Source organism: Homo sapiens, chromosome 8 (genome assembly GCF_000001405.40).
Source record: "Homo sapiens chromosome 8, GRCh38.p14 Primary Assembly".
NCBI classification, from domain to species: Eukaryota; Metazoa; Chordata; class Mammalia; order Primates; family Hominidae; genus Homo; species Homo sapiens.
In genome coordinates, this window is record NC_000008.11 from 68,546,240 (window position 1) to 68,561,046 (window position 14,807).

General features: G+C 32.5%; 1 protein-coding gene across 11 annotated transcripts in view; it reads left to right on the forward strand.

Annotated features, from left to right (window-relative positions):
• Window positions 1-14,807, forward strand: part of C8orf34 (chromosome 8 open reading frame 34) — a 488,651-nt gene that overhangs the window by 215,867 nt on the left and 257,977 nt on the right. The window contains exon 8 of one of the 11 annotated variants that reach the window (XM_011517450.3): window positions 4,344-5,599. The exons of the other annotated variants lie outside the window; for them this stretch is intronic. Coding sequence (XP_011515752.1) covers window positions 4,344-4,357 — 14 coding nt within the window. The 3' untranslated portion in view covers window positions 4,358-5,599. Of the gene's footprint in view, window positions 1-4,343; window positions 5,600-14,807 lie in introns of those variants that run through there. 11 annotated transcript variants of the gene reach the window in all.

Sequence of the window (14,807 nt, forward strand, 5' to 3'; positions counted from 1 at the left end):
ATAAATGAATTACACACACCAATTAAAAGGCAGAGGTTGTCAGACTGGATAAACGAGCAAAACTTGTAAGCTCACTATAAGATTCACACTCTGAAGGCCAGAGAGGTTCAAAGTATAAAGTTAGCAAAAGAATTATATGCAAAAAGTAGGCAAAAGAGAGTTATAGCTTAATGATAAAAAGTATATTCAATAGGAAGACAAAACAATTCTAAATGTATATGCATTTAAAACAGTTTCAAAATACATAAAGTAAAAACTGACAAAACTAAAAAAAAAGAGACAAATGGGATATCATAGATGGATATTTAAACATATTTCTCTAAATAATTCATAGAAAAGTAGAGAAAAATCAGTAGAGATATAGAAGATTGGAATAACAGTATCAACATTTACAGTAGATTGAAATTTATAGTACAATATGCCAAACAGCTACAGAATACAAATTATTTTCAAGTGCAGATGAAATGTTTATAGAAATAGTCCATATACAGGGTCAACTTTCTGTACTTTTATAACAACATGATTAAATTAGAAATCCATCATGGACATTTAAGAAAATTTCAAAATATTTGGAAATCAGACAGTTTTAATAACAAATGGGTCAAAGAAAAATAAAAAGAAAACTTAGAAAATAATTCAAACTAAATGATAAAAATACAACACATAAAATCTCTGGAGATATAGCCAAAACAGTGGTTAATGAGAAACCCAGAGCTTTAAACAAGAAAGTTTTAAAATTATTGATATAAGTTCCTATCTTAAAAAGCTAGAAAATAAATTCAAATTGTATCCAAATAAGTAGAAAAAATGAAAAATACAGATGAAATGAATCAATGAAATCAAAATATGTGAACATACAGAATATTAGCAATGCCAACACTGAATAATTCTTAGTAGTACTGGCAAAGAAAAAAGTAGAGAACCACAAATTACCAGTATTGGAAATGAAAGACGGGAACTGATTTTACTACAGATCTTACAGACACAAAGGATAACAAAAGACTATTACAAACAAATGTATGCCAGCAAATTTGCCAACTTAGATATAAGGAAAAATATTCTGACAAAACACATCACAGCAGATGTAAAACAAGAAGAAAAGTATGTCTAAATAGTCCCATGTAGGTTAAAGAAGTTAAATTTGTAAGCAAAATGCTTCCCAAAAAGAAGACTTCCAGTTCACATGATTTCATTGGTAAATTCAATCACATATTTAGAGAAGAAATAATGCCAAATGTAACAAATTCTTTCAGAAAATAGAACAGAGGGAACACTTCTCGGATTGTTTGAAAACCACCATAGCTGATACCAAAACCTGGCAAAGACATTAAAAAGAAAAAAGAAAATTACAGATGAATACCCCTTATACACATAAGTATATACACTTAAAAATATTGTTAAATCTCTATGACACAGTACAGTCTCAAATGAATTTCTAATAGGCTTAGAAAGTTGACATTCAAATTCTAAAGTTTATATGGAAATAATGACCTTGAATGGCCAAAATCATCTGAAGAAAGAACAATGTCATCAGTGGAATTATAGGATCTGATTGCAAGACTTACCCTAAGGCTATAATAATCAAGACAATGTGGTATTGACATAAGGCTAGAATAACAGATTAGTGGAATGGATTACAGTCCAGAAATAGATCCACACATATGTGGTCAATTAGTTTTTAACAAAGCCACCAAGGCAATTTGATACAGAAAGGAAAATATTTTCAACCATTGGTGCTGGAACAATTGAATAAATGTAAAGAAAGAGAATGAACTTTGACCCTCTACGCCACAACAAACATTACTTTGAGATGAATTATAGCCCAAACATAAAAGCAGAGACTATGAAACTTCCAGAGAAAATGTATAATATATTCAAAACATTGGCCTGGCAAAAATTGTTTAGAAATAACAAAAATCACTAAAGATGAAAGAAAAAATGGATAAATTAAACTTCATTAAATGACAGATTGCTTCTCAAAAAATAAAAAGAAAAATTGTAAATGCATTCCACTCACTGATTTAGATAAAATATATACAACATATTAAAATCTGACAAATGTGTATCTAAAATATATACAGAACTCCTGCAAATCAGTTTTTTAAAAAGACAACCTAATTAAAATAGGCAAGGAAATGTAATAGGCACTTCTCAAAAGAGATAAACAAATGGGAAATAAGCACTTGAAGAATGTTTAACATAATTAACCATCAGGGAAATAAAAATTAAAACAACATTGAGATGCCACTTCCTACCAGCTAGAATTGGTAAAATGAAAGATTCTCAACACTAAATGTTGCTAAGTACGTGGAGCAGCTGGAATTCTCAAACATTGCTAATGGGAATGCAAAATTTTACAATCACTTTGTATGATGTGTTTAGCAGTGTCTCATAAAGTTTAATATCTACTTGCTCTATGACATAGTCATTCCTAGATATTTTCCCAAAAGGTGATAAAATATATGTTCACAAAAATATTTGCATAAGAAAACAATTTTATTCAAAATAACCCAAACAGAACACAATACAAATGTCAATCATCAGGAGAATATGTAAACAAATTGTTGTATATTCATACAATAGAATACTGTTTAACAATAAAAATCAATTACATACTGATACGTGTAACAATATGGATGAATCCTATTGCTATTGACTAAATTTTGTCCTCCCACAATTCATGTTGATGCCCTAACCCCAATGGGATTGTATTTGGAGACAGGGCTTTTAGGAGGTAATTAAGGTTAAATAAGGTTATAAGAGTGGGGTCCTAATCTGATAGAGTTGTTAGCCTTTAAAAGAAGAGCAACAGAGAGAAATTCTCTTCATGCACACATAGAGATAAAAGGAGTGAGGACACAGATAAAAGGATGTGAGGACACAGTTAGAAGGCAGCCATCAATAACCCAAGGAGAGAGTCCTCATTAAAAACTGACCATTTTGGCACCTTGATTTTGAAACTTCCAGCCTCCAGAACTGTGAGAAAATAAGTTTCTCCATTTAAGCCACCCAATCTATGGCAATCTACAGTATTTTATTTTGTCACCTTTAGCTAACTAAGACACTCATAAATATGTTTGTTCACAAAGGAAACTAGACACAGATTATTATATCCTATATTAATTTAATCATAAGAAATTTAAGAACAGGCCAAAATAATCTATAGTGATAGAAATCAGAACAGGTGGGGAGTGAGGGATTGACTTGATATTAGCATAAGGAAACTTTCTATGGTGATGGAAATATTTTATATTGATACATACATTTACCAAAACTCATAATATTATACACTTAGTATCTGTGCATTTCACTGCACATTTTACTTCTAAAAAATAAAATAGTGATTTTTATATATAAAAATCATGTCTGCATAATGTTACATCATGAGAATATCTGAGGAGTCAAAATTAAACTTGAAATTTGGTCTTGCTTCTGAAGTGAAATGATAATGATGATATTGAGATCTCTAATTATAATAGTAGATTTATCTATATTTCCTCACAGTTCTGTCAGTTCTCATCTTGTGTATTTTGATGCTTTGTTGTTAGGCACATAAATATTAAGGATTGTGATATATTCTTGACTAATCAACTCCTTTATTGTTCTAAGCCCCTCTTTTATCCCTGATAGTTTTTGTTGCTCTGAAGTTTGCTCTGTCTGAAAATAATATAGCTACTTCATCTCTCTTGATTAGTGTTAGCATGGTATATCTTTCTCTATCCATTTAATTTAGTCTTTATACATGTTTATATTTAAAGAGAGTTTCTTGTAGACAGTACGTATTTTGGCTTTGATCACTTTGGCAAACTCTTTTAATAAGCATATTTAAACCATTAACATTTAAAGTAATTATTGATGTAACTGGATTAATATCTACCATTTTTTCTTGTTTTCTATGTATTATTCTTGTTCTTTGTTCCTACTGTTGTCTTCCACCCTGTTTCTGCCTTTATGGTTTTAACTGAGCATTTTATATAATTCAACTTTCTCTCCCTTCTTAGTATATCTGTCATACTTCTTACTTTTTTTAGTGGTTGCTATGGAGTTTGGAATATATATATTTATAGCTATTCCAAGTCCATGTTTAAATTATACTATATTGCTTCATGGGTAGTTCAAATACCTTGTAATATCAAAATACTCCTAATTCTTCCCTAATATTCCTTGTATTATTGCCATCATTTACTTCATATATACATATGCATACACACATGTGTAATTTAATACATTGTTGCTATTATTTTGAACAGCTATCTGTTAGATCAATTAAGATTAAGAAAAACAAAAGTTTTGATTTCACCTTCACTTGTTTATTTTCTAATGCTCATTTTTTCTTTATACAGATCCAAGTTTCTGACCTACATCATTTTCTATCTCTCTGAAGAACTTCTTTTAACATTTGCTGAAAGAGAGGTCTACTGGCAACAAATTTCCTCAATTTTAATTGGTCTAAGAAAGTCTTTTTTTCTCCTTCAGTTTTAAAGGAGATTTGATATTTTCATATGGTACAGGAATCTAAGTTGGTGTTTTTGTGTTTTTTTTTTCCCCCTCAGTGCTTTAACTATTTCACCCTACTCTCTTCTTGCTTGCATCATTTCTGAGGAGAAGTCAAATGTAATTCTTATGTTTCCTCCCTAATGGTAAAGTTTTTTTTTTTGTTTTGTTTGTTCTGCTTCCCCCCCTCTGGTTTCTTTCAAAGTTTCTTCATCTTCAATTTTCTTCAGTTTGCACATAGTATGCCTAGGTATAGTTCTACTGACATTTTCCTACTTAATGTTCTCTGAGCTTCTTGGATCTGTGGCTTCGTGTCTGACAGTAACTTAGGGGAAATTCTCAGTCAAAATTTCTTGAAATATTACTTCTCTTTTCTCTCTTTCCTCTCTTCCTGGTATTTTCATTATGCATATGTTACATTTTATACAATTGCCCCACAGTTCTTGAATATGCTGATGTGATTTTTTTATTTCTTTTTTTCTCTTTGCTTTTTTGTTTTGAAAGTTTTATTGACATAATCTGAAGCTCAGAGATTCTTTTTTCAGCCATGTCCAGTCTACTAATGAGCTATCAAAGGTATTCTTCATTTTTCTTACCATGTTTTTTATCTGTAACATTTCTTTTTTAATTCTTTCTTAGAATTTTGCTCTCTATGCTTTCATTGCTCATCTTTTCTTTCATGCTATCTACTTTATCCATTAGAGACTTTACTGTATTAATCATGGTTTTAAAAAATTTCAGACTGATCATTTCAACATCCACACTATATCTGAATCTGGTTACTTCTTGTTTCCTCTCTCTTCAGGCTATAGGAGGTTTTTTGTTTGTTTGTTTGGGGCTTTTTTGTGCCTTTTATTATGTCTTGTAGTTCTTTCCTGATAGGCAGACATGATGGACTGGTTAAGAGAAACTGCTGTAGATATGCCTTTAGCAATGTGTAAGATGGGGATGGGGGAAGAAGTGTTCTATAGTCTCATGATTGCATCTCTGTCTTTTAGTGAGTCTGTGCTTCTAGACTTTGAACTTCATATGTACTCTCCACTCCCCTCTGCCCCACCTTAGCTAAGTCAGAATGTCTAAAAATAAACTCATGTTTTCTTCTAAAGGTTTTAAAGTTTTAACTCTTACATTTATGCCCATGATTTCTGTTGAGTTCATTTTTATTTATGGTGTGAAATATGAATCCAATTTCATTGTTTTGCATGTGGATATTCAGGAGTCCCACATGCAAAACACCAATTTGTCAAAAGATGAATTTTTTCCATTGAATTTGCTTGGTATTCTTGTTGAAAATCAATTGACCATACATGTTTGAGTTTATTTCTGGACTCTCAATTTTATTCCAGTGACGTACATGTCTGTCTTTATGACAATACCACACTATCCTAATTACTCTAGCTATGTGATATGTTTGGAAATGAGTAAGTCCTCCAACTCTGTGCTTTTTCAAATTTATTTCCCTTGCATTTCTATCTAAATTTTAGAGTCAACTTAACTTCCTCAAAAACATCACCTCGAATTTTAATACAAATTTCATTAAATCTGTAAATCAATTTGGGAAGTATTACCTATATTAACTATTCTAATTCATTAACATGCAATATCTTTCCAATTATTTAGATCTTTAATTTTTTAAGAATATTTTTTAGTTTGTCAGAGTACAAATTTTATACTTCCTTTGTTAAATTTAGTCCTAAGTGTTTTTTCCATGCTATTGTCAATGAAGTTGTTTCTTAATTTCCTTTTTGGATTCTTCATTGACAGTGTGTAGAACATAATTCATTTTGTACACTAATTTTTTTATTTTGCAGTCTTACTTAATGTTTGTCAGTTATCATAGGTTTTTTAGTGGTTATTTAGGATTTTCTATATACAAGACCAAAATAGAAGTGAACAGAGTGGACATCCTTGTACTGTAATTTAGGGGGAAGCATTGAGTCTTTCAACATTAAGTATATGTTGGCTGTGGATTTTTTGTAGATTCTCTGTTAACTTGAGAAAGTTCTCTTTTATTTCTAGTTTGTTAAGTTGTTGTTGAATCATAAAGATGTTGGATTTTTGTCAAAATTTTGGCATCTACGAGATGATCATGTGGTTTTTATTCTTTATTAATATGGTATCTTGTATTAATATTTTATTTATATGTTACCTCAACCTTGTATTTCAGGGATAAATCCTTATTTGTTGTTTCTATAATTCCTTTTATATGTTGCTGAATTCAGTTTACTAGTGTTTTGTTGAGGACTTTTGTATCTACGTCTATAAGAGATATTGTTGTTTTGTTTTATTTTATTTTAATGCCTTTATCTGGTTTTGGAATTATGTAAAACTGGTCCCATAGCATGAGCCTGAAAACATATCCTCCACTGGGGCCAGGCATGGTGGCTCACACCTGTAATCCCAGCACTTTGGGAGGCCGAGACAGGCAGATCATGAGGTCAGGAGATCGAGACCGTCCTGGCTAACACCGTGAAATCCTGTCTCTACTAAAAATACAAACAATTAGCCGGGCATGGTGGCATGTGCCTGTAGTCCTAGCTACTTGGGAGGCTGAGGCAGGAGAATAGTGTGAACCCGGGAGGCGGAGCTTGCAATGAGCTGAGATGGAGCCACTGCACTCCAGCCTGGGCGACAGAGCGAGACTCCATCTCAAAAAAAAAAAAAAAAAAAAAAAAAACATATCCTCCACTCATTTTTTGGAAGAGTTTATGAAACACCAGTACAAATTCTTTAAATGTTTGGCAGAATTCTCCAATGAAGCCATCTGTATCTGGAGTTTTAAATTGCGATTCAATCCCTTTGCTTGTCAAAGGCCTATTCAGATTTTATATTTTTTAATTGGGTTAGTTTTGATAATTTATTTATTCCTAGGAATCTGTCCATTTCATCTGTTATTTAATTTGTCGGCGTACACTTGTTCAGAGCATTCCTTTTTTATATCCGTATGGTCAGTAGCCCCCTTTTTTATTTCTGATTTTAGTAATTTAAGCCTCCTCTCTCTCTCTTTTTCTTGGTCAGACTAGCTAAAGATTTGTAACTTTTGTCAATATTTCAAAGAACTAACTTTTGGGTTTGTTGATTTTTCTCTTCTCACATTCTTGACTGTGAAGTAATAAATATGTTTATTCTATGCCACAACAAAAGTTTTATGAAAAAAAATGAGAAGTTTGAAGTTGTGGAAAACTCTTCTGAGTTTAATAAGTTGAAATAATGAGGGGAATTCAAATTCAATGAAAATCAAAAAATGAGATAGTATAATTAATAACACATCATATTTCAAGAAACTTTTAAATGTGCTCTTTTCTCTGTGTGCCTCAAGTCAAATTGGTTAGCAAATTGAAAAAAATCCAATAAAAATATCTACAGGTTTATCATCTGAAATTTAACCTTTTAAAGGTTTTATAGTCTTGTTATATAAAGTTCACATTCATATAGCAAAAGTTTGAGATGTATGTTATACTTACAACTCTAGTTTATATTTTTCAGTAAGTTCTTCCTTGAAATTCCTACCTTTATTGACAATATAAGGTAAAGCAGCCATTTATTAATGCATAGGTGGTGGTAGCAGCTGATCTTCTGTGAGAAATTTTGCTTTGAATTAAGTTTAGTGGATGACCCTGGCTTTATTTGATTTCTAACAGTTTCTTTAATTCTTTTAGCTATTATGGAATTAACCTGTATCTAAACAGAGAATCATATTTGATTAAATTTAGTCAAAAGAAAGAAACTTGTTAAATGTGATTAAATGACTTTTTTGTATATGAGGTACAGTCACTCTTTTTTTCCTATCTCAGCTGCTATTCATGGTCCTTAATATAATTATACAATAGTTTAAAAGAATAACTTTGAGATTTTAGTTTTCTTCATAGTTTATTAAGCATTGCTACAGGTTAAGCCACCATAGTAAGTGTTTTATATGCATTATCACATTTAATTTTCATAATAACCCTATAGTGTGATTGATATCACTCCCATTTAAAGACAAGGCAAATGAGGCTCAAAGACATTTAATGACTTGGACAAAGGCAAATGTCTAGTCATTGGCAGATCTAAAATTCAAATGCAGTGTAACAAAACATGGCATGGAATTGTGTATACACACCCACATATCTTTTTTAAAAAAATTACTTTATGTGCCATTATATTTTAGTTTTGTCCCTTGTTAAACAACCTTAGATTGCTCTTGTATTTTTCAAAATTAACCTCAGAGACATGCTCTCTATTTGGTAGCTTTACTCTGTTTACATTTATTGTGGATCTGAAAATACTTGGCTTTATTTTGCCACTTTTTTATGTTTACACTTTTAATACTTTTTTATGTTTTAAAAAGTTTCTGTTTGTTTTCATACCCTATTTCCTTTCCTTTACTGATTTCTATTGTTTTGCAAGTTTTATTGAATAAGCCCAAAGGGATAGTGTGGTATAGTAAAGAGAACAAGCATTGGAGACAGAAAGCCATTGTTTCAGCCTCTCAAGTTCATTACTAATTGTACAACCTTGAGCCAATTATTTTAGCTTCTCTCTTAGTTTCCTCATCTGCAAAACTGGGATACCATTTGGAGGATTGTTGTGAGGATTAAGAGAGTAAATATATGTAGAATAGTGCTTGATGCATAGCAATAAGAAGCATTTTATGAGTGTTGGCTATTTTCCACCTCTCTTTTGTTCTTTTATCTTTTACCCTGGTGAGATTCATGCATTCTACTTACATTCTTTAACTTTTTTAACGTACATGTCTTGCAGCTTTAGGCTTCTCCTTAGCAAGACTAAGATTTTAGAAAACTCTTATACTATTAATTTTCTGCCTTTCCCTAATTTCAGTCTTCTATCTCCATCATTCCAGTTCCCTCCCTTCTCTAGAGGTAATTATTATGCTGATGTTGGTTTTGGTTTTTATTCTATTATTTCACAGTTTTACATGCTCAGGGATGTATCAATAATAATGTATATATTTTTTAAATTTACGTCTGCAATATTGTACTATGCATACAATTCAAAGTTTCTTTTTCAATTAATTTTGTGTTTTAGAAATTTATTCATGTAGGTATATGTAGGTATAGTTCATTTACTTTACCTGCTACTTAGCATTCTCTTGTATCAATATGCCAAAATGCATTTATCCATTTCTCTATTCATCAATTTCCAGATTTACACTATTACCCTAGGTACCACTATGAATATCCCTGTCCTATTTTCTTGGGCAACTTTGTTTGAGTTTCTTTTGGGTTCACACCTGAGAGTGTCTAGCACTTTTGTATTTGAAATGGCAGAAAGCATTTTGTGACAGTCAGTCAGCCACATTAGTAGCAACTTACATTGTGTAATTTAATCAAATCCACATACTAGTACATGAAATACATCCAAATTATTAGCTTTGAAAAACAAGTAGCAAACCTTATGTATGTCACCTCATTTTTGAAAAAAAAATTATGGCCAAAAAGTATATAAATTTCATTAGCTATAGATATATAAATATTTATATTTATCTCAATCTCTATCTAGTAAACCAAGCTACTATCTATAGTTAAATTTGGGGAGCAGTATTAAGGAAGGAGGGAATCTTTTTTTTTTTTTTTTTTGCTTTATATACTTCCTTATTGTTTGATTTTGTACACAGCCATTTTAAACAAGAAGAAGATACTAAAACTACTATGAATTTTAGGATGAAATTATTTATTCTAAATAATTTTTTGTGATTATTCTGTCATTTCCCTGATTAGTATCTTGATAATTTTGCTAACAGTGCAAACTCTGTAGGCTTGAAATGCAGATTGTGAGCTTGTTTTGAAGACTGTATGTAGCGCACAAGTCAGGAGGCATAGCCTGACTCAGCAAACCCCAGGATCCGGGCACAGGAGCAGGTGTGGAAGTGATAAAGAGCCGAGGGCACCTCTGAGGCCTGCTGGAGAGGACGACCCTGCGAATCAGACCATTACCCAGGGATCCTCGGCCGATGTACTCCCTGGTGTCGACCTTATGGCATTTTAAGTTTGTTAGAAAGAACTGCAAAGTTCTTGTGGATTTTAAAACATTGGTAGTAATGTAGGTTGTAGGTATGATAGATTTCATCCACAAATGGCAGTTAATGGTGATTGAATTTCCCTTTAACAGCTAACACAAATGTTGATTCTAGTAGCCATATATACTCCCTTTTTAAATTTTTCATTCTTTCACAAACCATATTTGCTTTCTCATAAAATAAGAAATAAGAATGCTTATAATAAATTTTTTTAAACCTGAATTTTCTTAACCTATTTCTGAGTCTACTTACAGACCATCATTTCTACCATACATACAACCTGAGTTATTCACATTGCCAGTGAAAATATATGTATTTTATTGAATTTTGGTATATGAAAAGAACAGCAGAAAAAATTCTTGCTGGATCTACATAGTGATTGAGTATTGCTTCAGACTACATTATTTTCCTGGAGGGTAAAATAAAGTTTGTTAGCTCCTGTGTTTTGTAATTAACTTGTTACCTATTTATATTTGGCATTTTAGTTGGCACTTAGTTCTAGGCAAATAATTTTACACTGAAAAATCCATTAACCTTCTCCGTGGGGGAATGATTTTCTTGTAAATTAAATTTTCTAATTAGCTAATCCTTTGGAAAACTGATCCTAAACTTGAGCCCCAAAAGCTTAACAAAACTGTTTGTAGTTTTAAAATAAACTCTTACAAATTGCTTCCTAAAGATACCAGATTCAAATTACTGTTTATTAGACAATAATGAGGCTACTTATCCCAGGAATTAAGTGACTCATCAAACAAAACCATTATTATATTTCATTGCTATTTCTTTGCTGTCTGCCCACCCAGATCTTGCAGGTAAGTAGCAAAACCTCCACCTTGCATGTAAGCTATCAGAATGTGCTTTGGTTTCCCTACAAATTGCCTGCCATAGAACAACCTTGTAACAAAAAATGTGCCTTTATCAAATCAGCTCCCTACACCAATGGGGAATAAACATCCTTCCCAAAGAGTAGTTGAGATGTTTTGGTATTCTGAGAATATGGTGATTTTCACTGTGGTTTCTACTTAACATTCACTCTGTAATAACAAAGATGTTTTTCTATATGCTGTTTAATTATAAGGGATATGACTGATGGAGTCTTTCCAGACCAGGTGCCCATAGCATAAACATCAGAATAATGGACAGCCACAGTTATTGGCAGTCAGAGATAAGAGGCTGAGAATTAGAACAGATGTGAGTTAGTAATGAAATAGTTTAGAACATTCTCTACCCTGATTTTTGGCCAAAAATGCCTTTATAACTGGAGAAAGAAAACGTGGAAATGTTCCACCTAAAATATGAAAAGATGCTCAAACGCCTGTGGTTCAGAAGGTACTTCATCTGGCTTTCATCTGCTGATCCTCATTTATTAGTTCTGAACTTTTTATAGATAAAAGTTATAGGATAATAGGTGAAAACTATTATATTAACCCTCAGCATTTTTATTCTGAGTCAACACAGGCCATAATAAAATGGTCTATTAGGCAGTGAAGCTAGCTTGTGTGAACACCATTTTAAGAATAGCATTGGAGAACGAACTATTCTTCACCTCATTTTAGGTTTTGAATCTAACTTTGATTACTAATCTTAAATAGAAATAATTTTAAATTTTTCCATTAAAAATGTTGGAAAGTAAATATATGTTGATTTTTTAAATTAATGAAATATACCTCTCTTACAATAAATTAAATTGTTTTTACCAAACAGAAAAGAAAATCTCTAACTATATAGTTTCTTTTTTTTCTCATAAAGTGTACCAATATGGAGGATTTAATTAATTGAGAAATGTCTATAATTGTTAGTAATATGCTAATAGGAAAAGGATGAAAGAGAGAAAGAGATAGGGCGAGTGGGAAAGAGAGAGAGAAAGAGAGAGAGAGAGATCACAAGCACAGGAAGAAATTTCTGGTCTTCTAGCAAAAAATATGTTTAGATATAAAAATGGGCTAATTATTTTTGTGATTGTAGAAGGATATCAGTGCTAGTGGAGGCTTATGATTCCATTTCTGATTAGCTGTTGAGGTCATTGATTATGCTATGCCCTGTACTAGGAAAATACAGAGCCAAATGAGGTACAGTCACTACCCAAATAGTAGAGAAAAAGACAAGAAACAAAGAAGAAAAAAACCGAATACAAATCCATGTTGTATAAACAACATTAAAAGTATGTACAAAGTAAGACATGCAGGGGAGAGAATAGGTGATTAATTCTATTACTGGGAGAATCACAGAAGGCATCACAGAAGACATGATTAACAAGATCTTGAGTTAGAAAGGTGGGTTTTCTTGTGAGATGATTTAGTGGGATGCAGGAAACCAATGAGAGTGAACATGAACATAAAACAAGGTAAGATCATATTTACATTTTAAAAAGTTATTCTGCTGGTTGTAGGAATGATGAAAGGGAGTTATCCCTAGATTTGGAGACCAGAGGTCACTGATTGCAGGAATACAGGTGGAAGATGATGACTATGCTATGGAAGTAACAGATGGAGGAGCCTAAAGTAATTTCTATGTGTCCAGCCTGAGTGAAGGCTGGTATCATCAACATAGACAAGGAATTCAGGAAAAATAATTTTCAGCTTTGGGATAAGAAACGACTTTATATTAGTATAGTTTTTAAAGTGCGAGTGTTTTTTTACATGTCCTGTAAATGATAAGACGTATGAGTAAGTCTGTAAATTGAGGGTGGAGTTTCTGAAGAAGGCAGGACAGGAATTTTAGTTTTGCAAATTAAAACTGATTAAAGAGAACTTTAAAATAAGATCAGAAGGGATACTGATGGAAACTTGAGAAATGGCACATGAGTCTATGGCAAAAAAACATTTTCTTTTGTTGTCATAAGAATACGTGTGACCTGTTTTAATACAGAAGACTCATCTACATGGAGAAATTACCTGGATTTGCTTTTGTTTATAGATGTCGAAAAACACCTCAGCCTAAAAAATTAAATCTGAACATGATGTAGGTATGAAATTAGCATGTAGCCAGGAACTTCAAAATTTGAGAAGGGAGTCGGTTAGATGAACAGTTAAAATATACTCAGTGGTACATGCTATGATGTAGCAAGAATGTGACTCCTAGGGACATGTGGGTGGGCTCCACCTGAATGTAGAAGTGTGGGCTGTGAATAGAAGATCCATGGAGTTGATGGAACACAGTCCCTGAAAGTCAAGTAGGTACAGAGAGGAACATTGGGTTTCAGATGGGGACAACAGAGAACATGGAAGCATTCCTACTAGGTGGTTCACCAGACAGAGGCGGAATACTGAGGGTGATGAAGCTGGGAAGATCTGCTGAGGTCAGAATGGGACTTTGCATTCCATATTAAATGGTTTGGAAATCAGTGGAAAACTATGGAAGAGGATAAGCAAGGGAGTCACCTGATTCTGGTGTTTTTTTTTTTTTTGAATGAAACAGTGTCGGAGTGGCAGACTGGAAGATGTATTGGAGAGCATTATGCACCTACAGAGGTGCCGAGAGACAGTTCACACACATGCAGTAGGGAAAGAAGGAGGAGTTTTCATTTCTGATCATTTTTTATTGTTCACTTAGTTTCATATCAAGAATGTACTATCTTATAGTTACACATCCTGAACATTTTACTCTAAGTATTTGCCTTCCATTGTCTTGTGCTGTTTCGTAGTTTGCTCTAAAACCAGGACTTAAATTAGTGACAACAGATTTACCTTCATTTGGTTACAGTCATGCTTCACTTAACGATGGGGACACTTTCTAAGAAATGCATCCTTACCAGATTTAGTCTTTGTGTGAACATCATAGAGTGTACTTACACGAACCTAGACGGTACAGCCTACTACAAACCTAGGTTAGATGGCAGAGCCTATTGCTCCTATAAACCTGTACAACATGTTATTCTACTGAATACTGTAGGCAATTGTAATGCAATGGTAAGTATTTGTGCATCTAAACTTATCTAAACGTAGAAAAGTACAGTAAAAAATGGTATGCAAGATAAAAAATGGTACTCCTGTACAGGACACTTAACATAGATGGAGCTTGCAGGACTGAAAGTTGCTCTGGGTGAGTCAAGTGAGTGGTGAGTAAACGTGAAGGCCTAGGACATCACTGTACACTACTGTAGACTCTGTAAACACTCTACATTTTGGCTACATTAGATTTATCTTAAAATTTTTCTTTCTTCATTAATAAATTAACCTTAGCTTACTATAACTTTTTTTTTTAACTTCATACACTTTTAATTTAATTTTTTTTTTTTTTTTGAGACAGGGTCTCACTCTGTCTCCCAGGCTGGGTGCAGTGGTGTGATCGTGTG